This window comes from Homo sapiens, chromosome 1, assembly GCF_000001405.40.
Source record: "Homo sapiens chromosome 1, GRCh38.p14 Primary Assembly".
In the NCBI taxonomy this organism is placed as follows: Eukaryota; Metazoa; Chordata; class Mammalia; order Primates; family Hominidae; genus Homo; species Homo sapiens.
Window position 1 is genome coordinate 5,885,036 of NC_000001.11, and position 27,850 is coordinate 5,912,885.

Genomic DNA, 27,850 nt, shown 5'->3' on the forward strand with positions numbered 1-27,850 from the left:
CTGCCCAAGCTCCCAGCCGAGCCCCCGTCCTACTCCACAACCAAGATCAGTGCCCAAGCTCCCAGCCGAGCCCCTGTCCTACTCCACAACCAAGATCACTGCCCAAGCTCCCAGCCGAACCCCCATCCTACTCGACAACCAAGATCACTGTCCAAGCTCCCAGCTGAACCCCCGTCCTACTCGACAACCAAGATCACTGCCCAAGCTCCCAGCCAAACCCGTCCTACTCCGCAACCAAGATAAGTGCCCAAGCTCCCAGAAAAACCCCCGTCCTACTCTACAACCAAGATCACTGCCCAAGCTCCCAGCCGAGCCCATCCTACGCCGCAACCAAGATCACTGCCCAAGCTCCCAGCCGAACCCATCCTACTCCACAACCAAGATCACTGGGATCAAAGAAAGCAATCTGGTGCTTGCTGTCCCTGGACGACAAAAGCTGACCGAAAGACAGTGCAAAAGAGGCTGCCAAGGAAATCAGCTGTGTGAAGCAGCCACCAAGCATGAGGGCAGTCCTCTCCCCATCATCAGAGTCCCAGGGCCCTGGGCCCAGCTGGCAGACACCCATGTCCCCAGCCATGGCACAGGTTTCCTTGCGTGGCCTCAGACAGGAACATGCACTGTGAATGCAGCTGGCCCAGAGCAGAATCCAGGCCGAGGCCGAGGCTCAGGTTCTGTCCCGTGCGGTAACCCTGCAGGCTTCCATGGCCAGCACCCACGCTGCTAGCAGAGAGACGCCTACTGTACCACAGAATAGCCAGTTTTATGAAGAAAGAAAAGCCATAACACCTTTTTTTCCAAAAAACGCAGAACTGACGGAGGAGAGCCAGGCTCGCTGCACTGATGCGCAGAGTGCTGCGGGTGGATTCGACCTTTGTGAAAACCTCTCCCTCTCCCGTCAGCGCCGGAGTCTCCCAGGCTGGCTATCTCAGCCTCCCCTTCCTATGAGCTTATCTCTCTCTTGCAGGCAAAGTATGAAAATGACAATTGGAGATAACATATAATGGAGGCAATCTTTCTTCTGAAGATAAGATTTTAAAACCTGGAGTCACTGCACATTTGGTGGCTGGAGAATTAAATATAAAAACAACCAACTCGGTCTCAGAGCAGAACGCTTCTTGCAACTCCCTTAGTTGCATGAGCCTTTGAATAATGCCTGCTCCTCACATGTGGCTCATTTATTTCTCCAGAACCTAATTGAGTTTTGCTGTGTCCATATTGTCTATTTACCAGGCCGCCTCGGATGTACATTCGTAAACAGGCAGGCAGAGCCTCCAAGTCGACTTAACGAGCTGTGCACTTGAGCCCCTCCGCCAGGCCCCCCACCAACCTCTGCGCTGCCAGCGTCGGGTGGATGTGGCCCATGGGGCTCTGGGGTTTACAATCAGGCTGGGTTCTAAGGAGTGGAAAATTCCCTAATAAAATAGCAGACAAGTCTGAATCTCATGCAGACAGACACAGCTTCAGAAACATCACACGGCTTAGTTTTATTGTGTTTTCAATTCTGCCCTGAAAAATCCCAAACGTTCCAGAGGACCCTCGGGAGGTTCAGTGAGCTTGTCACTGGCCCTACAGGGTCCCATGTCGGTCCTCTGCCCTGAGGTGCGCACAGGCAGGCACCCAGCCTTGTGTCCCTTGACACCCCATCAGCAGCCCCTATCCCAGCATAGGCCTCAGTCGAAGCCCCTGGAACGTCCCAGGTGGGACCCTCCTGAGCCACCCAACCCACCTGTCCCACCCACCACAGTCCTGGACGTGGAGTGAAGTCCAGGGCTTTGCTCAGGCCCTCTAACGAGCAATCCCGGGGCACCATTTTCTACAAAGTCATGGTGCTGGGCCGAGAAGAAATGCGCCTCTTCACTCTCCTCCTCCCGGGCTGCAGGGAAGTTAGGAACACTTCCCTTGTCTGTCCTCCATCATGAGGCACAGGGAAGTCTCTCCTGGAACCCAGTCACTGTATTTGAGGACTGTCCCGGAGATCCTCCAGGGATAGCAACAAACAACAACATGCAGGAGAGCCCGAGATGACTGATGACCTCTAACCCCAATCAGAAATTCAGAATGCAAACAACTGGGTCCAGGACAGACTCAGCGGCCAAGGACACAGGCTCCATGGCCAAGCTGGTGAGAATTCTCCCGGTTTCCTCCTGGGCCCGTGAAGCCCATGATGTGGCCCCTGCCCGAGGGAGCCCACACTCTACCAGAGGGGTTGGGCGGCCGCTGGAGAAATGGCACAAGGCTGGGGACTCTTACCCACGTTGGCCAAAGTCAGGTGCAGCCGGCCCTTCACCACCGAGTGGACGCCGATGGGCTTGACGCGGCCAAACCCCAGCATGTCTCCACTCACCACCATGTTGTCCTGCTCGTATTCAGTTGCCACGACCTCAAGCTCGTGGGAGGCCTGCACAGCCGGCCGGCCTTGGCGGAGGAGATGCTGCAGAAGAGAAAAGCGCGTTCAGAGGCTGGAGCCGGCCCTGGGCTGCTTCCACCAGCCCTGCAGGTGGAGGCTGCTCCCCAGCCCAGCAGGAAAGCCACTGTGGGCGGGAGGGGGTGTGCGCAGGATAAGACCCTGCACCACGCTGGGGGGTGAGGGGGCGGCGAGCCAGGCGCCAACGTCTTAAAGCAGGACTCCTTATTACTGGGGTCTTTTTCACAAAGTCTTAAGTAAAGTATGACTGGATTTACCCACTGAATAAATACCACTGGGCCCTGGGAAGGCATAAGTGGGTCTGGCAGCTGCCCTGGAGGATCCTCCCCTCCACAGGAAGCAAGAGCAGGAAAGAGGGCAGCCAAGCAACGCAAAGGACTCTTAGCCAAGCGTGTCTGGGACAGCGAGGAATCCAGGACGGAAACCCCAATGGGACTCCAGGAGGAAGACAGGCCATGCACAGAGAGGGCAGGGGAGGCAGAGAAGGCCGGGGAGGCAGGCCAGGCCAAGGGCACAGGGCACAGGGTACAGGGTACAATGCCTCCCCCGTTTCCCTGGGCCAGGAAGCATGGCTGGGGTAGAGGCCCGTGGGGCCCAGGGAGGGGCCATGGGGCACGAGAGGCCCGCCGGGAGCCCTGGGCTGGGGTTTGGCCCAGTTCTGCATGCCAGGCCGAGGCTGCTCGGGGCAGGGTGGGAGCAGGAAGCCTCAGACCCAGCAGGGCCTCAGCAGGACTTTCCTGACCACGGGCTCTTCTGCTGATCAGATTCCACGGCTCAGCACTCTGCCCGAACGCCAACACTGTGAGGCATGTGGGGGATGACAACGGCCTCACGGCTGTGCCCCAGGCGTGGCTGGGACACTCTTCCCCCGTGCCCTCTCTGCTCTGGTGCTTCCTCTCACATAAGAAGCAGTGTGGGAGCAGATGAGGTTCCGGATTTTGTAATTCTCCAGTTTCTACAGCAACAAAAGTGCCTGTCTCTGGGAGTGAGACGCCAGACCTGACCCTTCCCTTGTGGGTCTGGGGGCTTCCGGTCGCCGCAGACCCTGGTCGCTTTGCCACACTCGTCTACACTGCATACGATCACTGCATAGACATCGATGATTCCGGAACCTCAGTCACTGGGAGACTGAGAAGATATGAGAAGTCTCCTTTAGGGAACAGCCAACAAATACAAGAAACCATGTCAGCTTCTCCAAGAGGCAAGGAAATGCGAATGAAAACAAGGCACCATTTTCCTCCCAAATCATTATCAAAATGGCCACTGGCGACTGGTTTAAAGGCTGACACACTGTGAAGCCAAGGACATGGGACACAGTGCCCTCTGTCTTCAGGAAGTGCAGGCCTGGCTGAGCCTTCGGGCCAAACCCCCATCTGGCTCTGCATGCCTGCGGCCCTCACGGTGGCACCATCAGAATTCTACTTCCGGGAACATGTCATTAGGGAGAAGAGGATGGTAAATAGCACAAGCCCCGGAGACAGAATTAGGCTAAGACTCTGCCCTGATGATCATCAGTGTGACCCTGGGCCTCTGTTTTCTCCACCAGAAACAAGGATAAAAACAGAACTGCCCCAGGGCTGGGCTAGGGGTCACACTGAAGGCAGCACAGGAGCCGTCCGTCCCTAGAGGAAACTCTTCTCATCGTCGTAGCAACGTGTTACGGCCAGCACCCCCAGGAAATCAACTAGAAGATGGGGGTAAAATTGAACTTCAAGAAGTCCACAGCAGTGATTAGCAGAAGGAAAAGCCACTGTAGTGACCCGCAACAGCAAGAGCTCAAACAAGATGAAAGCTGGCCCCGCCTGCAGAAAGTAAGTCCACCAAAGGCTAACCGGAGCAACCTAACTCTCCCAGGATCTGGAGTCCAGAGGATTCTCTCTGATCATCTCAGTTTTTCACGTTTTCTACCTAAGTTTTAAAGTTACAAGATTTTATTTTAGAAAAGTGAAGCTTTAAATTTAATTTATTCAAGTCTATGTCAACAAGCGTAACGGCACTTGTTTAAGGGGCTCTTCGTGTAGGGGGAGATCAAATGGCTTCCGTCTCCAGGTGGCACAGCAAAGAGGGGGCACAAGGCTCGGCTGGGCACGACAGGGGAGCCACTGCCACCCCACACATGCCCAGCGGGACCCGGCTCTGCCTCCCACACCGCCTGCCTCCTTTACGCCTCCCCACCATGCAGAGCCTGCTGGGGCTGAGGCCTGTGCTAGAGATGCTGTGGTGTCGACACACAGTCCTGCCCTGGGGACATCAAAGCCAGCATGGGAGACGGACAAGCAAGGGCCACGATGACCCTGTGGGGCCCTTGCCATGACCCCAACAGGAACAGAGGCCCAGGGTGAGGCATGAGAAGAGCAGCCAAGCCCTGCGGAGTCCCTGCCACCTGCAGACCCCACCCTGAACGTTCTGTGCACAGCCCACCACCCTGGGGGGCATCCCCCTCCTCTAGAAGTCACAGGGAGCAGGGATGGAGCCTGGATCAGTCGGTCACACGGGGAGCCAAGAGCAGACCATGCCTCAGAGGAAGAGCAGCTGGAAAAACTCCCATACCCCATCCCCCCACCCCGAGAGCACAGCGCAGCTGAAGGAGCAGAGGAGCCGTGCTTCTCAGGGGTCAGCAGCTGCTGGAGAGGACAGGAAGCCCCGGGGGTTCAGCCGTGTCAGGAATCCAGGAGGAAAGCAGCTATGCGGCACTCAAGAAAAGTGGGGAAATCTCAGAGACTCAGGGGCTGCAATAATGACGCCACATCCTCTCCCAGCTCCGTCCCGTGGCCTGAGAGAAGTCTCAGGACACCATGGTAGCGTGTGAAACTGGCCCCAGTCCTTGGCCCAAGAGTTGTCATGGGGTCCCCTTCATACAATGGAGAAGGCTTGGGAAGAATTCCAGGGAAGACGAGTGAAAGAATCCATGGATTTAGGTTTTAGTATACAAGGAGAATGGAAAAGGACAATTAGTAAAAGAGATTCTAATTTTCACCAGAATGAGAAAAGAACAACACGTCACTGACCTTAGGAATCAGGTCACACTGCACACCCCAGTCATTCGCGTATCCATTCATTCATCCTCAACCCACCTCGGATGCACCTGCCCTCACCACATTCACCACATGGGAGGAGATGAAGTGACACTGCCTGGTAGGTCAGTTTGCAGGAGAAATAGATAACTGAGTTTGATCTTAAGAGTTTCTTGAGCAAACAACTAGCATTATAGAATTCAGACAGTGAAAAATCTTTTCCTTTCAAGAAACAGAGAATGCAGCACTATTTTTAACGAGTGAACAAAGAAGGTCAAACAAGTCCTGTGCGGGATAGCGCCCGCTCCTTCCAAGCAGACAGACGCTGGAAGCGTGACTCGTCCCATGAGGGACGCAGCACCCACTGTGCCTGTCCTTCCAGAGAGCCGCTACCTTCATCTGGACGGCAGCAGATCCGATGAGCAGCAGGGAGTCTCCGTCCCAGACGTCAATCTGCAGGGTCTGCACGGCCAGGTAGCGGGCAAAGCAGCGCCGCTCACCTGGCTTCAGGAACCCAGGGCCCACCATGTACCTCAGCTGGAAGCCAGGAGACCCTGTCAAAGAGGCACCAAAGGAGGCCAAAAGTAATTGGAGTCATTCATCATCTTTACACTTGGAAGAGATTTCAGCTCTGGTCATGATTACTAATTTCTGCTTCTGTCATAGCTACAGTTAATAAACACATTAATCAAAAACATCATAAAATATTCAAATTAACAGAATGAAGAGTCATGTTCAGAAGACTACATTTCTTTCGCATAGAAACAATAAACTCCTCCCAAAATAAGATTTATGGTTTCACCAAGTCCTTGTAACAGCCTAAGATGGATGGGAACAAATGTCCTTATGAGGCTGGCTAGGGAGTTTATTATTCTGGGCGTGTAGAATTTAAGAAAAAATGTAGTCTACATCTGCTGTCAAAACTGGCATGTTCACACACACAGGCAGAGCTCAAACCGAGATCAGGCTTAGAATGATGTGTGGGACACCCAGCAGCCCCTCTCCTGGCCCTAAAGCAGGACGGCACCTGCCCCGTGGGTATCCCGGGCTCCTCCCGTGCGGTCTGCCCTGGTCATCAGGCTAAGAGATGGGAACTGGACTGCGGCCCCTGCCTTCATCTTCTTGAAGTGACATTATCATTAATTCTAAATTGACAAAAATGCCATTCAAACCATCCTTAGTTAAAATTCGAGGAACAGCAATGGTGAGAAGCATTTCAAAACAACATTATTTCTCTTTCTATCAATAATGGTGACAACATTCCCACAGCCCCCAACGAGCAGAGGAAGGAGCGAAGGTTTACTCAGCACCTCCAGTGCCAGGCCCCAAGCCAGGCTGAAATTTGGCCACAGGTCCTCTCCACCCAGGCTCCAGCCCCACAGGATGACCACAGACCACATTCCATCTGCGTTTCTCAAGACCAGAGGACAAGGAGTAAGCACAATGTGTCCGGACAGGGGACCTAGGGGGAGCGAAGAGTGCAGGGCCCAGGGTGGGCCCCAAGGGGGTGGAGCAAGGACCCACTGCTCAGGCCCGGCGCTGGCCACAGCAGGAGCTCACGGGGGCATCTTGGGGCAGAAAGGCAAATAAGGAATCTGGAGGAAGACCAAGGAGGAGCTGGTGATTAACATCACGCAAGGGCAGGCATGTCCCCAGTGTGGCACCTCAGAGGTGACCAGCCACACAGCCCCCACCCCTGCCTGGACTGTGGCATCTAGTGAGAGCTCCCAGCATGAGCGACGCAGAAGATGGGTGATTTCTGCATTTCCAACTGAGGTACCGGGATCATCCCACTGGGGCTTGTCGGACAGTGGGTGAGAGTTGGGAGGCTGGTCAGAGGAGCCTAGACCAGGATGGCCCCGTGCCTAGCATGCTCCTGCCCCCCACTCCAGGAGCTCTCAGCATGCTGTCAGCTCTGGGATCAGTGTCTCCCTGTTTTGAAACCCAGAGCTCCTTAAGGGTGGGGCCCTGCTTGTCCAGTTCTCCCAGCACTACCCTGTGCAGGGCCTCCCACATGGTGGGGGCGCAGTTATTTGTTTGCTGAGTAAGTGAATTAATGGTAGCATTGAAAGGCCCTGGCAGTGCTGGGGTATAGTGGTGACAGAATGGGGGCCGGTCCAGCGGGGCACTGGAAGGAGCTCCCCAGGAGACAAGACAGAGGGTCCCACTGGGTCGAGCTGTGTTTGGGACGCGCGTACTCTCCCCACTGCAGCCTCAGACCTCTCCCCTCCCTGTCCAGCTGAGACAAGTGGCTCCTCCGTGGCCACCCCTGAGGTCCAAGCTCCCCACAGTCCACCCTGTGTCATTTCCATCCCACTCAGAAGTCCAGGAAGCTGGCCTCCAACTGAACTAAGAAGACTCCCAGGGGCAGTGGCCCTGTCCTCCCCAAGCCCACCTCCTGCACCCCCTTCACAAACACCACGCCCCAGCCCGGCTGGAATCCTCACTGCTTCTGGGGTTGAGGAAACAGAAAACACAGTAATGGTAGAAACTAACCACTCTCCATTCAAAGGCAGATCCAGGCAACGATGAATGAGTGACAATCTAGAAGAGCAGAGTGGCCAACTCCCACGGTGGCAGGGGTGTGGGGTGCAGGGATCGACCTTAACGCAGCACCCCAGTGACAGAAAAAACAACTTTTCAAGTGTATTTGGAACATTAATAAAAACGAACCATGTATTAGGCCACTGTGGGGACCAGCCTCACAGGGTCGGTGGGTCTCTCCCCGTGTGCGGCAACGAGAGAGTGTAGAAATAAAGACACAAGACAAAGAGATAAAAGAAAAGACAGCTGGGCCCAGGGGACCACTACCACCAATGCGCAGAGACCGGTAGTGGCCCCGAATGTCTGGTTGCGCTGTTATTTATTGGATACAAAGCAAAAGGGGCAGGGTAAAGTGTGTGAGTCATCTCCAATGATAGGTAAGGTCACGCGGGTCACGTGTCCACTGGACAGGGGGACCTTTCCTGCCTGGCAGCCCAGGCAGAGAGAGAGAGGAGACAAAGAGAAAGACAGCTTACACCATTATTTCTGCATATCAGAGACTTTTAGTACTTTCACTAATTTTGCTCCTGCTATCTAGAAGGCAGAGCCAGGTGGACAGGATGGAACATGAAGGCGGACTAGGAGCGTGACCACTGAAGCACAGCATCACAGGGAGACGGTTAGGCCTCCGGATAACTGCAGGCGAGCATGACTGATGTCAGGCCCTCCACAAGAGATGGAGGAGCAGAGTCTTCTCTAAACTCCCCCGGGGAAAGAGAGACTCCCTTTCCCGGTCTGCTAAGTAGCGGGTGTTGTTCCTTGACACTTTTCGCTACCGCTAGACCATGGTCCGCCTGGCAACGGGCGTCTTCCCAGACGCTGGCATTACCTCTAGATCAAGGAGCCCTCTGGTGGCCCTGTCTGGGCATAACAGAAGGCTCACACTCTTGTCTTCTGGTCACTTCTCACTGTGTCCCCTCAGCTCCTATCTCTGTATGGCCTGGTTTTTCCTAGGTTATGACCGTAGAGCGAGGATTATTATAATATTGGAATACAGAGTAATTGCTACAAACTAATGATTAATGATACTCATATATAAACACATCTAAGATCTATATCTGGTATAACTATTCTTGTTTTATATTTTATTATACTGGAACAGCTCATGTCCTCGTTCTCTTGCCTCAGCACCTGGTTGGCTTGCCACCCACAGGCCACAAAAAACTGCACTCCATAAAGTAGAAATACTACAAATAATATTCTCTTAACATAATGCAATAAACTAGAAATTAATATGCCAGCCTGAGCAACATGGTGAAACCCTATCTCTACAAAAAACACAAAAACTGCCCAGGCATAGTGGTGCATGCCTGTAGCCCCAGCTACTCATGAGACTGAGGCCCATCACTTGAACCCAGGAGGTGCAGGTTGAAGTAAGCTGAGATCACGCCACTGCATTCCAGCCTGGGCTACAGAGCAAGACCCAGTCTCAAAAAAAAAAAAAAAGGTAAAATTTTTTAAGAAACAAATTTGCAACTTACTCATAAATAACTTTCTGTCAAAGGGAAAACACAATCAAAAAAGATTTTCTGGAAACAATAATAATAATGAAAATACTACTTATCAGTATCAACAATCTTAAGGCAGTAATCACAGGAAAATTCATAGCCTTGAATCCTGGTATATCCACACAAACAAAAGAATTAAGATAAATGAATTAAGCAGCTCAAAAAAAAAATAGGAAGATAGTAAAGAATACCAAAAATCAAGGAGAAATGAGGGGACGGTAAAGATAAACACAAAATTTAATCAATTAGAAAACAAAACAATAGCAAAACCCATATGACATAAACTTTAAAATTCTTCAGAAAGACACACAGTAGAAATGAACAGATGGAAAGGCAGCCTTGTCTTGGACCGTCATCTCCTCGCTCTTGTGGCACTGTTCACAATAGAAAAGACGTGGAACCAACCCAAATGTCCATCAATGATAGACTGGATTAAGAAGATGTGGCACATACACCCCATGGATTACTATGCAGCCATAAAAAAGGATGAGTTCATGTCCTTTGTAGGGACATGGATGAAGCTGGAAACCATCATTCTCAGCAAACTACCGCAAGGACAGAAACCAAACACCGCATGTTCTCACTCATAGGTGGGAACTGAACAAAGAGAACACATGGACACAGGAAGGGGAACATCACACACCGGGGCCTGTCGTGGGGTGGGGGAAGGGGGGAGGGATAGCATTAGGAGATATACCTAATGTTAAATGATGAGTTAATGGGTGCAGCACACCAACATGGCACATGTATACAAATGTAACAAACCTGCACGTTGGGCACGTGTACCCTAGAATTTAAAGTATAATTAAAAAAAAATACAAAAATTAGCTGGGCATGGTGGCAGGTGCCTGTAGTCCCAGCTACTCAGGAGGCTGAGGCAGGAGAATCACTTGAACCCGGGAGGTGGAGGCTGCAGTTTGCCAAGATCGCGCCACTGCACTCCAGCTTGGGCAACAGAGTAAGACTTCGTTTCAAACAGAAACAAAACAAAACACAACAAAAAAACTGCATTAAGATGGACTTCACATCTATGGGACTGTAAAAATACCACCCGTTAACGCCCCATTTTGACGGTGAGCAGGAGGAAACCAGCAGCCCCACGGATTGCCAGTGGCCCCGGGCAGCGGCACCCGAGAGAGGGTGTGGGGCAGTGTCTGTCAACACCACTGAAGCCTGTGATTCCATTATCCCCTTTCCAGAACCAGAAAGAACCAAGGTTACTAATTGCTGAGATAGCGAAATACTAGAAATGACACAAACGTCTATTAGGAGACCGGCTGAATAAAGAGCAGCATAACCACCCCACAGAGCATGATGCGGCTACCGTAGAAACGGGCACAGGCGACATCTATGCAGCCCACAGAGCATGACGCAGCTACCGTAGAGACGGGCACAGGTGACGTCTGTGCAGCCCACAGAGCATGACGCAGCTACCGTAGAGACGGGCACAGGCGACGTCTGCGCAGCCAAACTTGGGCTATGACATTAACTGAAAAAAGCAGGGAGCAGAAGAGTGTATTTGGTATGTTACCACTGAATTAGAAAACAGGGAAAATAAAATGTAAATGTTTGCTTATTTTTGAAAAAACAAATCAGTAAAAACACTGGAAGGGTCAGCCAGAAACGAAAAGTCTGGTTACTGTTGTTAGGAGGCTGGGCAGGGGGAGGAGCCCACAGGGATGAGGGGAGCAGGGAGGCCCGAGCACACACTGGGCTACGGTGTTCAACTTTCAACCATGTAAATAGTCCAAAAAAATTAAAAAGGAAAGCAAACATAAAAGTGAAAACAAATTAAAATAAATGAATCATACTGAATATCAAACTGGAGCTAAGAATTATTTTGAGGGCTTTTGGTCACACTAAACCAATTCTGAACCCTCGGTGGGACAGAGGCCAAAAGGAGCTGCGAAGAATCTGACTTCAGCAGGACACGCACTGTTGACATTAAGTCAACAATTAACATCAGCAGTGTCATTGTGAAAATGCATTCTATACGTTGTTAGGCAAGATAAATAAGTAAATACATGATGAGAAACCATGATTTTCTGTGTAAGACACATACAAATAATAGAAGGAAATTTATGAGAAAAATTCTAAATCTGACTTAGGAAGATCAACATGAACTCACATTTTACATTTTCCCAGCTCTTCCTGGTGAAAGGTTTTGAAGCAAGAAGACCCAGAATCAAAGCACCCCATATCCTGATCTCTGAAATGTCATCCCCATTCAGGCAGACCAGGCTCCTCAGAGAAACGGGCCCTGGCTGGCGGCAGGGAGAGCACAAGATGAGCCTGGAACCGGCACTGCTCCAGAAAGCAGGACGCGCTCAAAGTCCAATCAGAGCCGGTGAAAGGCCGGAAGGGCTCCCGGAATAATAATGAGTGCAACCCCATGCATCGATGAAGATGCAGGAGACCGCAGCCACGCTCCAAAGACAAAGCAAAACAGCCGGACACCTAACACTGGGATCCCACTGCTGGGCTAACTATTCCACCGACTTCTCACTCTGAAAACTGGCAATTAAAGGGAAAGAATTAAACCTTTGTCCTGTCTTTGTGGAGCATGTATATGTAGTTCATCGCTTATCGGTAGGGAAAGTTCTTTTTTAACAAAGAATGTGAGCTAATAAAGGCAGAGCAGACCAAATGATAGAATTAGACAAATTACCATTTCAAAAACACCAATTAAATAACTGACGCAAGCAAAGCTCAGCCCAGGGTGTTAAAACAAGAGGTGGAAGGTTGCTGGGGACCAGATATTTGCATGAAGCCAAAAAATGTCGCCAAGAATTCTTCAGTCAGTTCAAAGGGAAAAAACTCTCTTTCTACAGGAGAAACCTGGGGGTGGGCACCTTAACCAAGCAACCGAATCAGCGTCGTAACAATGAGATAGTCTGACATTCGCGCCTCCTGAGGTGGTGGGCTGTGAAGCACACAGCACTGACAATGAAGTGTTCATGCTGAGATCCAGAATCAAACAGCTTTCAGCCGTCGCTCCCGGCATTCAAGAACTACGGGGGATAAAGCAACAAGTTCAACAACATGAAGAAGCAACCAGGTAAGCCCGGAACACGGGACGTTCTGCAAGACAGCTCACTTGGTCTCTCCTGAAAGCCAGTGTCACTGGAAAAGAATGCAGGCGACTACGAGATTAAAGTGATAATTACAAATACAATACAGGAAACCGGGCTGGATCCCAGATCAAAAAAATACACATGGGGGACAAATGGGGAAATGGTACTATGAAATTTGTGTTATCTTAAATGTGATACTAGAATTGCACATATATAAAAGGGTACCTTATTTTTAAGAGATGCACGTTGCTTATTTAGAGGTAGAGTGTTACCATGCATGTCAACAACTTACTTTCAAATAATTCAAGATAAACAGTTAAGCAATGTTCCAAAACATGGCACGGTTTCTGCAGGTGGGGACATATGGGATTAGGGCTCTCGCAGAAGGCCCGGGAAAGAGGAGATCCACTAAGGAAGAGACGGCAAGGCTGTGCTAGGTGGCCCGGAGCAGGACTGGAGGCTGGTCTGATGGAGATGCCTCTCGGCTGGGACAGCCCAGGGAGAGGAAATGGACCGCGTTCTTTGGAAGAACAGATGCTCTTGGCTGATCCAAAATTCAATTACTTCAGCTCTCACACTGAGGAGGGCCCCCACAAGACAAAAACACCAGGAGGAACATGTTAGGAAGCAAAAGGCCAGGACAGGAGCGAAGAAAACAAAAAGGGTTGAAGGCACCAAGCCCAGGGCCAAGGAGGGAACCAACACACGCAGGGGAGACCACGCCCTCGGCAGAGCCCCCCAAAAAGTGTAGGAAGAAGAGGTGATGAGAAGAAAGGCCACTCACAGCTCCAAACACCCAAACACGGAGAAAACCACTCTCGGGAGCCCTGGGCTCCTTGGCTCCTCCAGGCTCACGGGCGTGGCTGCCGGAAGCTTCAGTTCAGTAGGACCAGCGTGCAGGGCCTTGGCACGAGCCCCCCAGCGGCTCTGCCGGGCAGACAGCCACGCCTCAGATGCCGCTCTCTGAGTGGATCTTCCTCCTGATCGGGACATGGCAAAGGCCTGGGAAGCTGGAACCAAGGCATTCTCCCATCTACGCGCATTCACTCAGACACCTGAGTCTCTGGCAATGTCAAATTTTGGATTCTGAGAACATAATTTTCCTTAGGACAACTATTCAGGGCTGGGAATTGGCTTGTCTAAATTTGGTGGGTATGGGGCCAGTGCTTTAAAATCTTACATGTCCTATTAACTCTGGTGACGGGATACGGAAAGAATGCCTATCAATTCAAACCCACACATGCACACACACACACACACAGACAACACACTAGAAAATGGGCAGGGGACCTGAACACATGCCTCATGAACGACGATACCCCTAAGGCCAGCAGGCCTGTGAAAGGCACTCGGTATCATCAAGGAAGCTCCAACCACGAGATGCCTCTACATCAGGATGGTTCAAAGAAACAAAGAAAACCAGCGATCACCACGTGACTGGCGAGGACATGGCGCTGTCTGGGCTGCCTGTCTCCTGCTGATGGATGTGGAAGCTGGCGCAGCACGAGGGAAACCTGCTTGGCAGATCCACTAAACCTAACAACAGGTGCTGCTCCACAACCCAGCCGTTCACTACCAGGCATATCTCTAACACAACGGCCGTGCGCACCAAAAGCACACTCGCAGCAGCACTATGCAGAAGAGCCAAAAACTAGAACCCATTCCAACGCCTGTTTGAATGGAGAAGCATCACAGAATCACCCGACACTGGGCTTCTCTACAGCCAGGAAAACAGAAACGCTACTGCTATAGACAGAACAGGGACCCCACAGACAAGAGGCCAGCAAAAGAAGTGGGATTCAAAACAGAACATAAAACATGATCCCACCGAAGTCCAAAAAGGGGCAAAACTGATGTACAGTGGCAGAATTCAGAAGGGTGGTTCCCTTGGGGGAGGTGAAGGACTGCGGTGAGGGAGGCCTCTGCATCCTGTTCCAGAGCCCCTTCCGGGCTGGGAGGTGGTTACGCAGGTGTGTTCACTTGGTAAAATTTATACCTTTTATAAAAATTAGCTCAAAATGGATCACAGACCTAAATGTAAACCACAAAACTATACAACTCCTAGGAGACGACACAGAACAAAATCTAGGTGACCTCAGAGATGGCTTTTCAGATACAACCCATGCACAATCCATGAGAGAAATAACTAATGACCTGGACTTCACTAAAATGAAAAACTTCACTCTGCCAAACATACTGGTAAGAGAATAAAAAGACAAGCCATAGATAGGGAAAAAACATTTGCAAAATACGTATCTGATAAAGGACTTGCATCCAAAATATAAAAAGACATCTGTTCAGGTATCTGAGCAGAAATCTCAGGGAAGAAGATACACAGACAGCAAATAAGCACATGAGAAGATGCTCCACATCATAGGTCACTAGAGAACTGCAAATTACAACAACAAGACACCACTGCACTGCCTGCTAGAGCGGCTAAAATCCAAACCACTGACAACACCAAATGCTGGTGAGGATATGGAGCAACCAGAATCCTCATTCACTGCTGGTGGGAATGCAAAATGCCCAGCCACTTTGGAAGACAGTATGGTGACTCCTAACAAAACTAAACATACTCTTACCACGTGATCCAGCAATCACACTCCTTGGTATTTACCTGTGAGTTGAAAGATTATGTACACACAACACCCTGTACACAAATGTTTCTGACAGCTTCATTCAAAATTGCCAAAAACTGTAAACAACCAAGATGCCCTTCAAGAGGTGAATGGAAAAACAGGCTGTGGCACATACGTGCAATGAAGTATCATTCAGCAATCCAATACGTGAGTGAGCGAGACACAAAAAGCCATGGAGGAACTAAATGCACAGTGCTGGGGGGAAGAAACCAGTTTTGAAAAGCTACATACTACATAATTCCAGCTGTATGACATTCTGGAAGAGGCAACATGGAAACAGTCAAAAGAACAGTAGTGCCAGGGGAGGAGGGGAGGGCTAAATAGGTGGAGCGCAGGGGAGGTGTAGGGCCATGAAGCTATTCTGTATGATCCATCATGGTGGATCCATGATGTCATGTATTTGTCAAAAATCACAGACTGTATAATGCAGAATGAACTTTAGTGTAAACTATGAGTTTAGTTCATAATAATTTTTTAATACTGGTTCATCAATTGTAACAAATGTTACATTTGTTACATGGTGGCTCACGCCTGTCATCTCAGCACTTTGGGAGGCTGAGGCAGGAGGATCACTTGAGCCAAGGAGTTCAACACCAGCCTGGGCAACAAGGCAAAACCCCATCTCTACAAAAACTACAAAAAAAATATTAGTTGGGCATGGTGGTGCATGCCTGTGGTCCCAGCTATGTGGGGGCTAAGGTGGGAGGATTGTTTGGGCCCAGGAGGTCGAGGCTGCCATGAGCCATAATTGTGCCACTGCACTCCAGCCTGGGTGACAGAGTAAGATCCTGTCTCAAATAAAACCCAAAAAAAAACAAAAAAGAATATGTCACACCAACGCAAAATGTTAGTAATAGGGGAAACTGTTGGGGTGGGGGGAGGTCCTACGGGAACTCTCTGTACCAGCTACTCAATTTTTCTGTAAACCTAAAACTGATCTAAAAAAATAAAATTACTAATTTTTAAAAATAATGGAACCATGCACTGGCAATCTGTCTTTACCGTACGCATGTTACAGTTCAACAACAACAACAAATATCTTTTAAGTGAGGCTTATGAGAGGCTCAGTCCTGAACTGATGCAACTACCAAGGCCCTAGGGAACCATGCCCGTCCAGGGAGAACCCTCCCACAAGCTGCGGCTGCTGAAGGAAGCCCAGACCTGCCCAGGCAGAGACTCAGATATGTAAGAAATTGAAATCAGTCGGGTGGGGTTTTTTTGGACTTCAACTTAAGAATTTTGGACTGTGAATTTTAATTCATAATGACAAGAAAAATTTGATTTTGGAGTTTCATTTCTTTGGACTTCAACTTGCAAGGAAATTTAATTTGGGGACTTTAATTCCTCTCTGGGAAATTCATCATGGAAAGGGGTTTATATTCAAGTCAGGAGCATCTCTAAGTGGTTGGCCTTTTTTATTGAATGGTCTCAACGCTATCATTTAACTTCGTTGCAGAGCCTCTGATGAGCTGTGCTGGATAAAATGACTGGATGGAATTTGGAATGGGAAACAGAGTGGGGAATGAGTCTTCAGCAGTGGGTACAGAGGAGCCTTGAGACAAATGCATTAGTCTGATCCATTTTACAGCCTTCTGGGGACATCAGTTGGACTGTCTACCAAAGGCCTCAGGAGGACTGAAAAAGGAAAGGTGGTTGGCTTAGTTGAAGTGATTCAGGAAGGTTGGAACCGCCCTGGTGGTGACCAGCCCCCTCCCCCAAAGACAAAGGCCACACCCCTGGTTGGCCATAAACGTAATGATGAAGGCCAGTGAGTTGAGAAAACCAAACCCTGGAAATGCTGTAGGAGCACAGCCTTCCCTGGCTTCACACCTCTATGCAAAGGAACTTCCTGTGGCCTCTCTCTGCCCAGCCCCCATGCCTCTCAGGGCAAGAGCAGCTCAACTGACTGGGGATGGGGAATAGCCTAACTGAGCTAACTAACTAACTAGGCTGCTCACTCCTCCTCCCCACTCTCTTCTTTTCAGATCTGCCCACAGGAGAGAATGCAACAGTCCGAGATGTGCTTCCAGGCATGCAGAGAGGCGAGGGCTCACCCCAGGTGCAAAGCCTGCTGCTGTCTGGCCAACCTCCACCTGCATCAAAGGCCATCCACATCAGGGGCTGGCGCCAGTGGGCACAGCTGGCTCTCAGACCAACCAAGTCCTACACCCTCTTTATCATGAATAAATGCATGATAAAGAAAGTGATATTTTCATCTCCGCCATCTGCCTCTCTTGACCGACTGTGCCCATGGACAAGAAACAAGAAGCATGCCCTGTTGTACCTGGTGACCCTGGTGCCCAACTGTTTGGTTGACCCGTTCTATTGTTTTGTCTTCTAAGCATTTACACTTATCAAATTTTTTTCCTTCTACTTTTACTGGGTTTGTTCTGTCTTTCTCCCCAAAACTTCTTAAGTTGAACAATTAAAACAATATCTTAAAGAGTACCTTTCTTCTTCACCAACATAGGCATTTAAAACTGTAAATTCCCCTGTAATTACAATTTTACTTGCATCTCCTAAGTTTTGATATGCAATATTATTTTGTCATTCAGTTTTAAATAATTACGCATTTCTATTTTGAGGTCTTCATTGACTCATGGAATAATTAGAAGCACATTTTAAAATTAAAAAAATAAAAGCAGTTCAGAGTGGTTGTAGGGGAGGGAGTGACTGACTTCTGATCTTGTGGCATTATGGCCAGAGAAAGTTATAAAATTAGATTTGATACCGATTCTCTCAGTATAGGGTGATGCCTGCTTGGTGAGCTAAAAAATATATATGAATGATGATCAGTTTTTCTAAGTTTCAAAGTATGCTTTAAAATAATGCATATTCTCTAAACGGGATGTACAGGTTTTCTCAGATCACCTTTTTAAACTGTATTTTATAATATCCTTATTAACTTGTTTCTGTTTGATCAATCTACTGAGAAGTATGTCTAGAACTCCCATGATTGTGGAGGTTTGCCAATTTCTCCTTATAAGTCCATCAAGTTCTCCTCTCTATCTTGAGGCTACGTATGTTAGAAGATCGCGGATTCAGAACTGTTTCTTTTCCTAGTGAATTACTTTCTTGGTTATTGTTTACCAGCCTCCTTGATCCCTAGCGCTGCATTTGCTTTGTGTCTCTGCTGTCAGGTGCCACTGTTAGGCTACTTCATTTGAGGTCAGCATTTTAACATCACTTTTCCCATCTGCCACTTTCTACCTCGAGAGGCGGCAGTGTTTCAGACCCCAGCTGGGTCCCTTATGAGCTGAGTCACTGACCAAGATGGGGAAACTGACCATCAATAAAAATATCAACATGTCAGGTGTGTTTCTATTCAATGTAGCTTCAATCTATTCGTTTACAATGATACCCGAAGAAAAAAAAAGTCATTAGTCCCCATCCTTGAAGGATGCCAGGGAATCATGTAATTACTTCAGAAATTGGCAAATAAAGGGAAGAATCAAGTATTATCCAGCCTTTCCTATACAAACTGCACCTCAAGGTAAGCAAAAAGTTGATGCCAGGAAGTTTCTGGTTTTGGAAGCATCCCAGCTAACAAACAAGGGAGGTGTTCTAGAAGCAGAACGTCACCTCTGCACAAATGACACAGCGGTGGGCACAATGGCTGCTGACGCAACACAAAGAGAAGCAAGCAGACGCCAAGGGCGCAGCGGAGGTGCAGGAGGTGGCGCAAACGTCACCTGCTACAAAGAACTCTTGCCAAAAACAAAAAAAAGCATCTAATCATGCATCTAGATCTAACTCCCAATTTACAGCTAAAGAGGGGACAGAACAACACCTTTATGTTACCACCAGGATACAAAAACAGAATCCAGACTGTGGGGTGGACGCTCTACAGTACAATGTGGCTTCTTCAATAAATACATAAAAAAGAAACAACAGAGACAGGTACGGTGGCAGCAACTGCAGACAGAGACTGAAGAGTCACACTGCTCCATGACCAGTATGGACCTTATTTCTGGACAAACTTAAAAAAATGTTATGAGGTTACTAGCAAAATTTTAACATTGGCTAGATATTTGATGATATTAGGAGTTATTATTTTAGATGGGCTATACCCCTTAAGTTTATGTTTTTCAAATGAGAATTCCTAATTTTTTAGATATACATAAGGAAATATTCATACATGAAATTATATAATGTCTGGGATTTGCTTCAAAATAACCCTGGCTTGGGGGAGGACGCTGGGTTGGGAGGCAGCTGAGAGCTGCTGGGGCTAAGTGTTTGCTGCACTGGTCACCGTATGATTCTAATGTTGCATATGTTTTAAACTTTTCATAGTACCACTTATTTAATAACACTGACAATTTACACACACAACTCAGTACAGAATGTCTTGCCTTTGCCATGCACATGAGTACTCACCAGCATCAAAGGTGCCATCTCTGCTCACAGGCACGAGGATGTGGGTCAGGGCGCCAGAGCTGGGCTGGCCGGCCTCATCCAGCTGGACCAGCTGCAGTCGTGGCGTCGTTGCGGGTGGGAAGCGGTAGAACTGGAAGGTGAAATACACAGTCTTTGGCCATGATGTTCCTCGGCAGTCCTGGGCCACTCTGAATCCAACAACAGCTCTGGGTTAACTGAGTATCCATGGCACAGAACCTGAGGGGTCTAATGTGTGTTTGCATAGGGGATGGTCCAGGCACCTTAGTCGCTGGGGAACAGTAAAGAGGCTGCCGTGGTCACCAATGCAACCGCTTTGCTGTGCTCTCAGCAAGCCGGCCAGACAGCAGCATTCTCGAGTGTAAGGACACTCCCGGCTAGAGAAGCTGCCTTTGGAGCTACACTAAGATCTAAGACCTGGACAACCCACCGTCCACATTTTAATGAAGGACCACAAAAGATGGGGTAAAGCAGCTTTCACAGCATTTAGCATGCTGTGGGTGGGTCCTAGCCAAGAGAAGATAAAAACAGATGGCACTCCCGAATCTACTAAGACCTCAGCACAGACAGTTCTGCCAGGTCAGAACCTCAGCGAAGTTTCTCTTCAACACAGGAAATGTGAAAGCCAGATGAGTAACAGAATATTCAAGGATTTACCTGCTAAAGGCAAGAAACTGTAGCACCATCTCGTTGCTTTGTAGACAATCTGATTCTTCCTTCTGAGGGTTAAACGTCACAGGTTCTGTAGCGCTGACAGCCTCGGCTGGCTGTTTATTGGCATCCAGAATCTCGGGAAAGCCGGAGGACTGCAGGAGCACCATGGAGGCTCTCGAGGGCTGCCCTGCAGAGCTGAGACACAGAGACTCCTCAGGTAGCCTCCCGGGAAAGGGGGGACCCATTGATGCACCTCCCTGTGGAAACCCTGGGGTTCACAAGGTCCAACAGTCTGACGGCACAGCACGTGACTGGTTCCATCCCACCCAGACCCACACCTCACCTCCTGGTCTGGGTTCCCACAACAATAGGGGCATGCAAAGGCGTGAACGGCAGCTCCTGTAACTGTTCGGCAATGGATGTTTCCAGGACCAGGGAGGTCTGGCTCAGGTCGGCTTCCAGGTGGGAGATACCGGCCTCCAACGGGAACTCCTGCTGAACAAAACGAGGGCTTCCAAGTGAGGCCACCAAGGACCCCAACCCGTAACAACCAACGGTGCTCAGATCTAAGGGGATTCATCGATTAATTGCCTCTGGAGGGTTGCCAGCTCTAGCAAATACAAAAGGTTCAATTACACTTGAATTTCAGGTAAACAACAAATGATTTTAGTATAAGTATGGTCCCTACGATATTTGGGATATACTTACACTAAAAAATTATTTGTTGTGTACCTGAGGTTCAAATTTAACTGGGCATCCTATATTTCACGTGGCAATCCAATGTGTGAGTTGAGAAGCGGTGAGGAGGGAATCCTAATTTTATGAGCAGGTCAGGACCGTGGGAGATACCTGACACCTGAGATGGTAAATTCATATCAAAGCATGTTTATAGAACAGAAAGATGAAGCTTCCTCAATACTCCAAGATAAACTGTGGCACCGAGCCCCTGGCTGGCGTGTTTGGACAGTCTCTTGTCCCCACAGCCCCTGAAACTTCTTGTCATTCACTCGTATTCCACCTCCACTCCCCTCCAAGGCCGAGGCAGGCCTCTCAGAGAGGAGCTGGCTTGGGAGTTGGGAATGTGCTCTCTCAAGCTTCATTCCCAAGCTTTCTGTTTCAGCCCAGAGGAAACCAGGTCACCCTCACACCATGTCTCATGCGCCAATAATAAAAAGCTAGGCAAGCTCTTCACAAACACATGAGCCCCAGAGATGCTTTAGATAAAGCAGCAGAGACTCATGGTGCTAGGAGTGTTTTCAAACAAGGAATTAAAAGAAACTATTTTTCCTCAACATAATTCCAGTTAAGACCAAAGATGCAGTTTGCAGGTGAACCAGCCGACTTTGGAAACCAAACTCCATAGGAATTCCCCAAGGCCAGTGGCAATGCCAGTCTTAGCCAGGAGCACACCCTGAAGCCAGGATGGCGGGCTCCACTCACCTCCTTTAGCTGCTGATAGCAAGGAGGGTCCTGGGGTGCTGGGTGCCTGTCTCAGCCTGTCTATAGATATAGCCACACCTTCCTTTTACTTTCACGTAGAGACCTAGGGGTAGCTTAACTTTGTTTTCATGGGTAGAGCACAATCTGAGTCAAGCGCTGTGGTATGAAGAACTCATGGGCCACATTCTTCTTTGGTCTCCAAGACAGAATGGTGACAACTGTCTGAGGCCTCAGAGTAAGCAATGCCCCACTCCCACCCACATCCCAGGTAACCCGCCAAGGTCTCTGCCACCTAACTAAGGACAGGCACAGTGCAAAAACCCAAAATGAGGAGCTGTGGAGCCATTCCTTGGTGGAAGGCAAGGCGGCAGGTGGGCGGCACTTACTGCCTGGGCCGGGGAGGCCTGAGAGCCATGGGGTAGCTGTGAAGTAGGCCTGGCCAAGCAGTGCTGAGTCGGGGACCGCGGGGAGGCCGCCAGCTGGGAAATTGACAACTGGAAGGAAAGAGAGCACAGGTGAGGGGCTCAGAAGCTTGCCAGTCCGTCCACAAAGCTCCCAACATGCACTGGCCACACCGGGGAACGGGGTAGCCCTGGATCCAGCCACGGAAGGGAGTGATGCCTGCAGCCTCCTGGCCAGGGCAGCTCTGGAACCTGGGACCGCTTCTCAAGTTCCTTTATTTAATGACAGAGAGGTGATTCCATGATCTCCCCCAGATCATAATATCTGAATAAGAATATTATTAACAAGGAAAACAAGCAAGAAAGGAGAAAGCATCTCAAGCTACAGGGGCGGCCTGGCCTCTGCCTCTCTGTCCCTTGCCAGCACTGGACTGAGCACCTCCAAGGCCCTGCCAGTTCTAGCCGCCTGCGTTCCTATCGAACAAACCTCCCTGTTAAGGCAATGACCATCTTGATGGCCAGCGCGGGCTCTGGAGACAGCTGTGGATAGAGTGCCCGTGCCAACGTGGCATTACCGTGGAGTGCCCGCACCAATGTGGCATTACTGTGTAGCCTCAGGCAAGTCAGCTAACCTCTTTTTGCCTCAGTCTCCTCACCTGTAAAATGGGGGTAATAATAGTACCTAAACTGCAGGACTGTTAGGAGAATTAAATGACAATCCTGGCTAGGGTTTGGCATAGTACCTGGCACACGGTGAGCCTTCTATAAATACTGCAGATATTTGGAAATGAGTGCGGCTTAAAACACTGATGCGGAGGGCTGGGGGCCCACGCACTACTGAAGACACAGATCTCAAACCCGGACTCTAACTCCAGTACACACAGCCAGCACCTGAGACATTCACTGTCAGCAATGATGGCTGGCCCACACCAGGTGCTGGCAGAGAGGCCCCAATGTATGAAGAGGCACTGAGGAATGAATGGGGGGCGGGGTGCATGAAGCATCCCCAGGGGACCCTGGCAGCATCTTCAGGGAGCAGAGGAGATCTTTGGGGCCTACCCAGCTTCCCTCAGACCCTATACGGTATCGTGACCACTCGGGGTCACGTGGAAACTGCTCCAGGGAAAATGCCAGGTTGGGCCAGCAGGGAAGCCTGGGAGGCCGTCCACAGACTTGCGCCTTTAGGTGAATCCAGTATTCTTCACTCCTGATCCAGTTTCCCACTGCAGATGACACACTAAAGCTGCTTCCTTGGAGACAGCCATGGATACTGAATTAGTCAACTTTTCTAGAAAGTCAATTTCCAGGATGATGCTGGCAGACAAAGTCATCAGCAGGAACAAGCCACATCTGACCTCACTGCAAATCACATAGCTAAGGCCAGCCTTGGAGCCACAGGTGAGCGCCACGGGTGTCTCGGGACTCCAGAACGGCAGCCAAGCAGGAGCTCAGCTCAGACCGCTGGCGGGCAACGGCCCAGCGGGAAGGCGCCTCTCCTCCCACTCAGGAAGTTCCAGCGCCACGGGGATCTGTGCGGTCGGACGTGCAACTGCCAGCAGCTTGTGGTTCTCAGCAGTGCCACTGTCTCCACCAGCATCGGCTGCTTGGCCGACAGGGCCAGGGGACACCAATAGCTGCCAGGCACCGCTACTGGTGGAGTTAGTCTGGGAGAGCAAAGAGGGTGAGGACCACACCTCGATGTCTCTCAGAAAAAGCAAAGGCCGTCCAGTCCTGAGAGTTGCCACCATGAGATGCAGCTGCCAGGGAGATGTGGAGACGCCCCATACAGCAGCATAGGGGTTGCAAGCAGCAGCCCCACTAAAAGCCCGCACTGGGAGTCAGAACATCAGGGACAGGCTGCACAGACAGGGTAGGAGGGGACAGCCCCGCCGCCGCCAGCAGGCCCTCCCCAGCCACGCAGAAGCACGCAGGGATCCACTGTGCTTAAGGGGGGACAGAGGGTTTTCTTGCAAGTAATTGACTCTGGAATTCTGAAGGAGGCCGTGGGGGGCCTGGACTTACCCCTGGTCCCACAGGTGAGTTCTGCGGGGCAGCGAGAACTCGAGGTACTGGCGCTGGCGGGCCTGGGAGGAAGCACAGTGGGGTAGGAGAGGGAATGTGTCAGCCTGTGTTGGGGGCAGTGGGCCCCTGAACCCCCACGCAGTCAGGTCTCCACAGGCCTCACCACCTTGTCTGTAACAGGGGCAGCCGCTGGTTACCGTTCAGGGGCAACAGCAGCAAGGGTGCCACCCAAAAGTGTCGCTGTCTATCTAGAGCCCTGGCATGCACCAGCAGCCAGGAGAGGGGGTACAGCTGGCCTCGTCCTCACTGTTCTTCCTGGGCCAGCAGGTCTCACAGCTTGGGGTGCTTGGAGCTCCCTAACACGCTTCTCCTCACTAGTCATCTTTGCATCTTCCCTGCCCGGAAGAGCTGGGGTCTGAGGTTGCCCCAGTCTTGCAGCTCCCTGACTCCGGCTGTTTTGTTAACCGAGAAGCTCCTGAGCAGACACTGCCAACCTGGCTTGCGGCCTCACGAACACCCACTAAGCACAAGCTGTCCGCCAGGTCCTGCTGAGGATTCTCCATGCAGGCCCGGTAACACTGGGAGGCGCACCTGGGGGAGGCAAGGCCAGCCCTTCATGGGGTCCCCCTGGAGCCAGGGACTGAGAACTGCCTTGGCCCTTTATAAGGCCACAGCTGCCTCCCAAGCATCCAGGGGCTGCCTAAAGAGCCAGCAGCCTCCTCCCAGGGCCACCTGTACCTGCCCAGCCCCGCCTCAGCCCAGCTGGCATTTGTGCTGCTTCTGCAACCCCTCCCCAGGCCACATGGACACCTCATGGCCCAGCAGACCCAGGGCTCTCAGCCCCTGCACCTCAGCAGGAGGAAGCCCCAGCATCGCTGGAGTCTCTGAAACCCACCAGGCTCCTGCCACAGCGGTGCTGGAGCGTCCATAGCCACTCGTCTCTTACGGTCATTTCACATACACTGCCATTTGCCTTTGCCCACCATGAAACCACCAAGCCAGACCCCAAGCCCATCCTGACGGGGCCACCTCTGCCCACTCAGAGGCCAGGGTGGGAGCCCTGCACACTGAGTCATCTGCCTGGCTTCCCTGAGGCCCACAGCCCAGTCTCCAGCCCATGTCCTGTCCCCACCTGGCTCATGACAGCCTCCTTCACGGTGACAGGACTCTCCACTGCAGCAGACACTACCACTCCCCATCGGACTTCCAGGATAACCCAGACCTCCGGAGAAATCAGGCTTCCCCCATGGCCCTGTCCCACCTCCCGTCACCCCCATGTGGCCCACATCTTGGGCCCAGCAGCTCGCCTTCCCTCCCTCTCCTGTGGCCTCTGCTGCCATGAAGGTTGGGCAAACGAATCTCCTATATGTCCTGGTATCCTGAATTCCTATGGCACAGAGCACAGGCCGGCACTTACGGGACCTACGGACCAAGCACACAGCACAGAGGCCTGTGACGTCAAACGCTGGGCACTCTGGATAGAGACTGCTCAGCCACTTCGTGTTCCGCTCTGAATCCCAAAAAAACAAAAACAACAAGGAAAATGCTGTCGACCAAGGAGAAACCAAATCCAGAAAGTGCCGCCCTAACACCAGAGCTGCACGACCATCGGAGCCAATCCCCGCCGTGCCTCTCCCAGCAGCTTCCAGAACCCATCCAAGGAGGTGCTTCCCCAGCTGCAGGATCTGGTGGAAACCCTGCTAAGGGCCTGTGGATGGGTGGAAGGCATTGGGGCAAGGCCAGAGGGAGCCCCCAACCCTCAGAGGATCCAACTGCCCAGCCTGGCGGGCACAGCTCCCAGTCCAACTACCTCCTGGGCAGCGCCCATTTGGCCCGCGCAGCTCCTCTGTAACCAGCCACAGTAACGTGGCTCCAAGGAGCACAAAGACTCTGGTCAGAGGAACCTGCCCTTCTATAAATGAGCTCACGTGCTCGGAGGGAGTTAGCAAATGATCTAGCAAGCTCTGCTTCCCCAGGAAAATATCATCTCACTAAAAGCAAAATGCAGATGAGGATTCTGCAGGGGCCCAGCTGTCCTCAAAGCCGATGCCTCTCCCCAGATTCCCTGAGTGCCTCTTACAGTCCATTTCAGAGCTCCGTACGGCAAACCCCTGCCCACCTCCTCCCAGAAAAAGCCTGAAAGATGACACAGCAGAGTGGTAAGTGAAGCTCCACGCCGTTCCTCCGTAAATGGGAACTCGGAAAACTCCGCAGGCTGATTTTGATAATGAGGACAAATTGCCAGAAATGGCTCCATTATCTTCAGCAGAGACAGCGGGCACTCGGGGGCCAGCCCTCCGTGCCTGTGTGCGTCCTCTTGGGGAGGAAAAGCTGGATGAAAAGTTAAACCTTCCAAGCACATCTGAACTTCTCGCATGCATTTTATTTCCCCATCGTCTCAAATTTGCATACAGTGTGGAAAGTTTTTTCAAGTAACTCTTTATATCATGACTTATGCAATTTTTTCTTCCAAGAGAGTAAACCTACCTACAAGGCCATTTAAAAAGGCCATTAAAGGTGGCCATTTAAAAAGATACCTGGTGGGAAGCCCAGACCCCCAGGGCCCAAAACTCAGATCCAACCGGTGAAGCAGAGCAGGAAGAGACACACCAAGGCCACGAAATAACTCAGTTTCGAATCTCTTTGTTTTAATGTTCGATGTGGTTATGGGTTAAGGTGCTTCCCAAACTATACTCATAGTCCTGCCCAGAGGACAGCGCGGCCGCCAGGGAGCACCCGCTGTACTCCAGGCCCCAGGAGTCTTCCAAAAACCACGGTGGAGTCTGGGAAGCCTGACTTCCGCCACATAACAGGACTTGGCTGACAAGCACCTGGGCCAGCAACTGAACCGGGAGCAGCATGCGTGTGCACAGGACACAGGTAGGAGCAGCTGCGGTGAGCAGACAGACGAGCACAAGGCTGTCTGGGGCAGCGCTGCGACAACAGCAAAACATTAGACACAATCCTGGTGCTCCTGCAAATGGAAGCTACCTCAGCAGAACCCGGCAGATCCTGCGTGGGGCAGGGGAGCAATGGGATGGGAGGAGACCAGCCGGTGTGTGCAGAACTGGGAAGGCAGCCGCGGCAAGTTAAAAAGTGACGATAGGCCGGGCACGGTGGCTCACGCCTGTAATCCCAGCACTTTGGGAGGCCGAGGCGGGTGGATCACAAGGTCAGGAGATCGAGACCATCCTGGCTAACACGGTGAAACCCCATCTCTACTAAAAATACAAAAAATTAGCCGGGTATGGTGGTGGGCACCTGTAGTCCCAGCTACTCAGGAGGCTGAGGCAGGAGAATGGCGTGAACCCGGGAGGCGGAGCTTTCGGTGAGCCGAGATCGCGCCACTGCACTCCAGCCTGGGCAACACAGTGAGACTCCGTCTCAAAAAAAAAAAAAAAAAAGAAAAAAGAAAAAAGAAAAATGAAAGAAACCCACAGTGTATACGGGTGTGCTGGCAAACTCGTGGTAACCACACCCATGAGACATGCTAGGAAACGCGTATTCCTACATTGCCCATAAAACTTAAAGTAAATTAAATGTTAGTTTAACAGTCATTATAAGACACACCTGTAGGTCCCTGATGGAGCCTGAAGTAGTAACACAGTCAGCACAGAATGGAAAGCTGAGACCTCCACGGCAAGCAGCATGACCAGGTGCCTCTCCCAACACGGAGCCCCTCCGTTCTCACCCCTGCGGCAGAGGCCTGGGCTCCCTCACTGGGAGGGGAATCA

General features: G+C 50.9%; 1 protein-coding gene across 32 annotated transcripts in view, besides 3 other annotated features; it reads right to left on the reverse strand.

The window, feature by feature from the left end:
- NPHP4 (nephrocystin 4) overlaps positions 1-27,850 on the reverse strand; it is a 129,615-nt gene that overhangs the window by 22,225 nt on the left and 79,540 nt on the right. For 22 of the 32 annotated variants that reach the window (XR_007058632.1, XM_006710563.4, XM_017000999.2 and 19 more), the window contains 7 exons: positions 24,117-24,178; positions 22,080-22,187; positions 20,597-20,748; positions 20,257-20,448; positions 19,582-19,769; positions 5,833-5,993; positions 2,251-2,431 (listed from right to left, as the gene is read on the reverse strand). Coding sequence is in view for 30 of the 32 variants with exons in the window: in XM_006710563.4 (XP_006710626.1) it covers positions 2,251-2,431; positions 5,833-5,993; positions 19,582-19,769; positions 20,257-20,448; positions 20,597-20,748; positions 22,080-22,187; positions 24,117-24,178 (1,044 nt within the window). In the remaining 2 variants the exon portion in view is untranslated. Of the gene's footprint in view, positions 1-2,250; positions 2,432-5,832; positions 5,994-19,581; positions 19,770-20,256; positions 20,449-20,596; positions 20,749-22,079; positions 22,188-24,116; positions 24,179-27,850 lie in introns of those variants that run through there. The other 10 variants (NR_111987.2, XM_017000996.2, XM_011541213.2 and 7 more) reach the window with 7 other exon arrangements.
- Positions 11,360-12,161: an enhancer, noted in NCBI's record as "OCT4-NANOG-H3K27ac-H3K4me1 hESC enhancer chr1:5956455-5957256 (GRCh37/hg19 assembly coordinates)". NCBI's record gives its function as "activates a minimal SCP1, AML or CMV promoter by ChIP-STARR-seq in naive H9 embryonic stem cells {active_cell/tissue: H9 hESC(naive)}" and the evidence as "EXISTENCE:reporter gene assay evidence [ECO:0000049][PMID:30033119]".
- Positions 12,162-12,961: an enhancer, noted in NCBI's record as "OCT4-NANOG-H3K27ac-H3K4me1 hESC enhancer chr1:5957257-5958056 (GRCh37/hg19 assembly coordinates)". NCBI's record gives its function as "activates a minimal SCP1, AML or CMV promoter by ChIP-STARR-seq in naive and primed H9 embryonic stem cells {active_cell/tissue: H9 hESC(naive and primed)}" and the evidence as "EXISTENCE:reporter gene assay evidence [ECO:0000049][PMID:30033119]".
- Positions 23,678-24,203: an enhancer, noted in NCBI's record as "H3K4me1 hESC enhancer chr1:5968773-5969298 (GRCh37/hg19 assembly coordinates)". NCBI's record gives its function as "activates a minimal SCP1, AML or CMV promoter by ChIP-STARR-seq in primed H9 embryonic stem cells {active_cell/tissue: H9 hESC(primed)}" and the evidence as "EXISTENCE:reporter gene assay evidence [ECO:0000049][PMID:30033119]".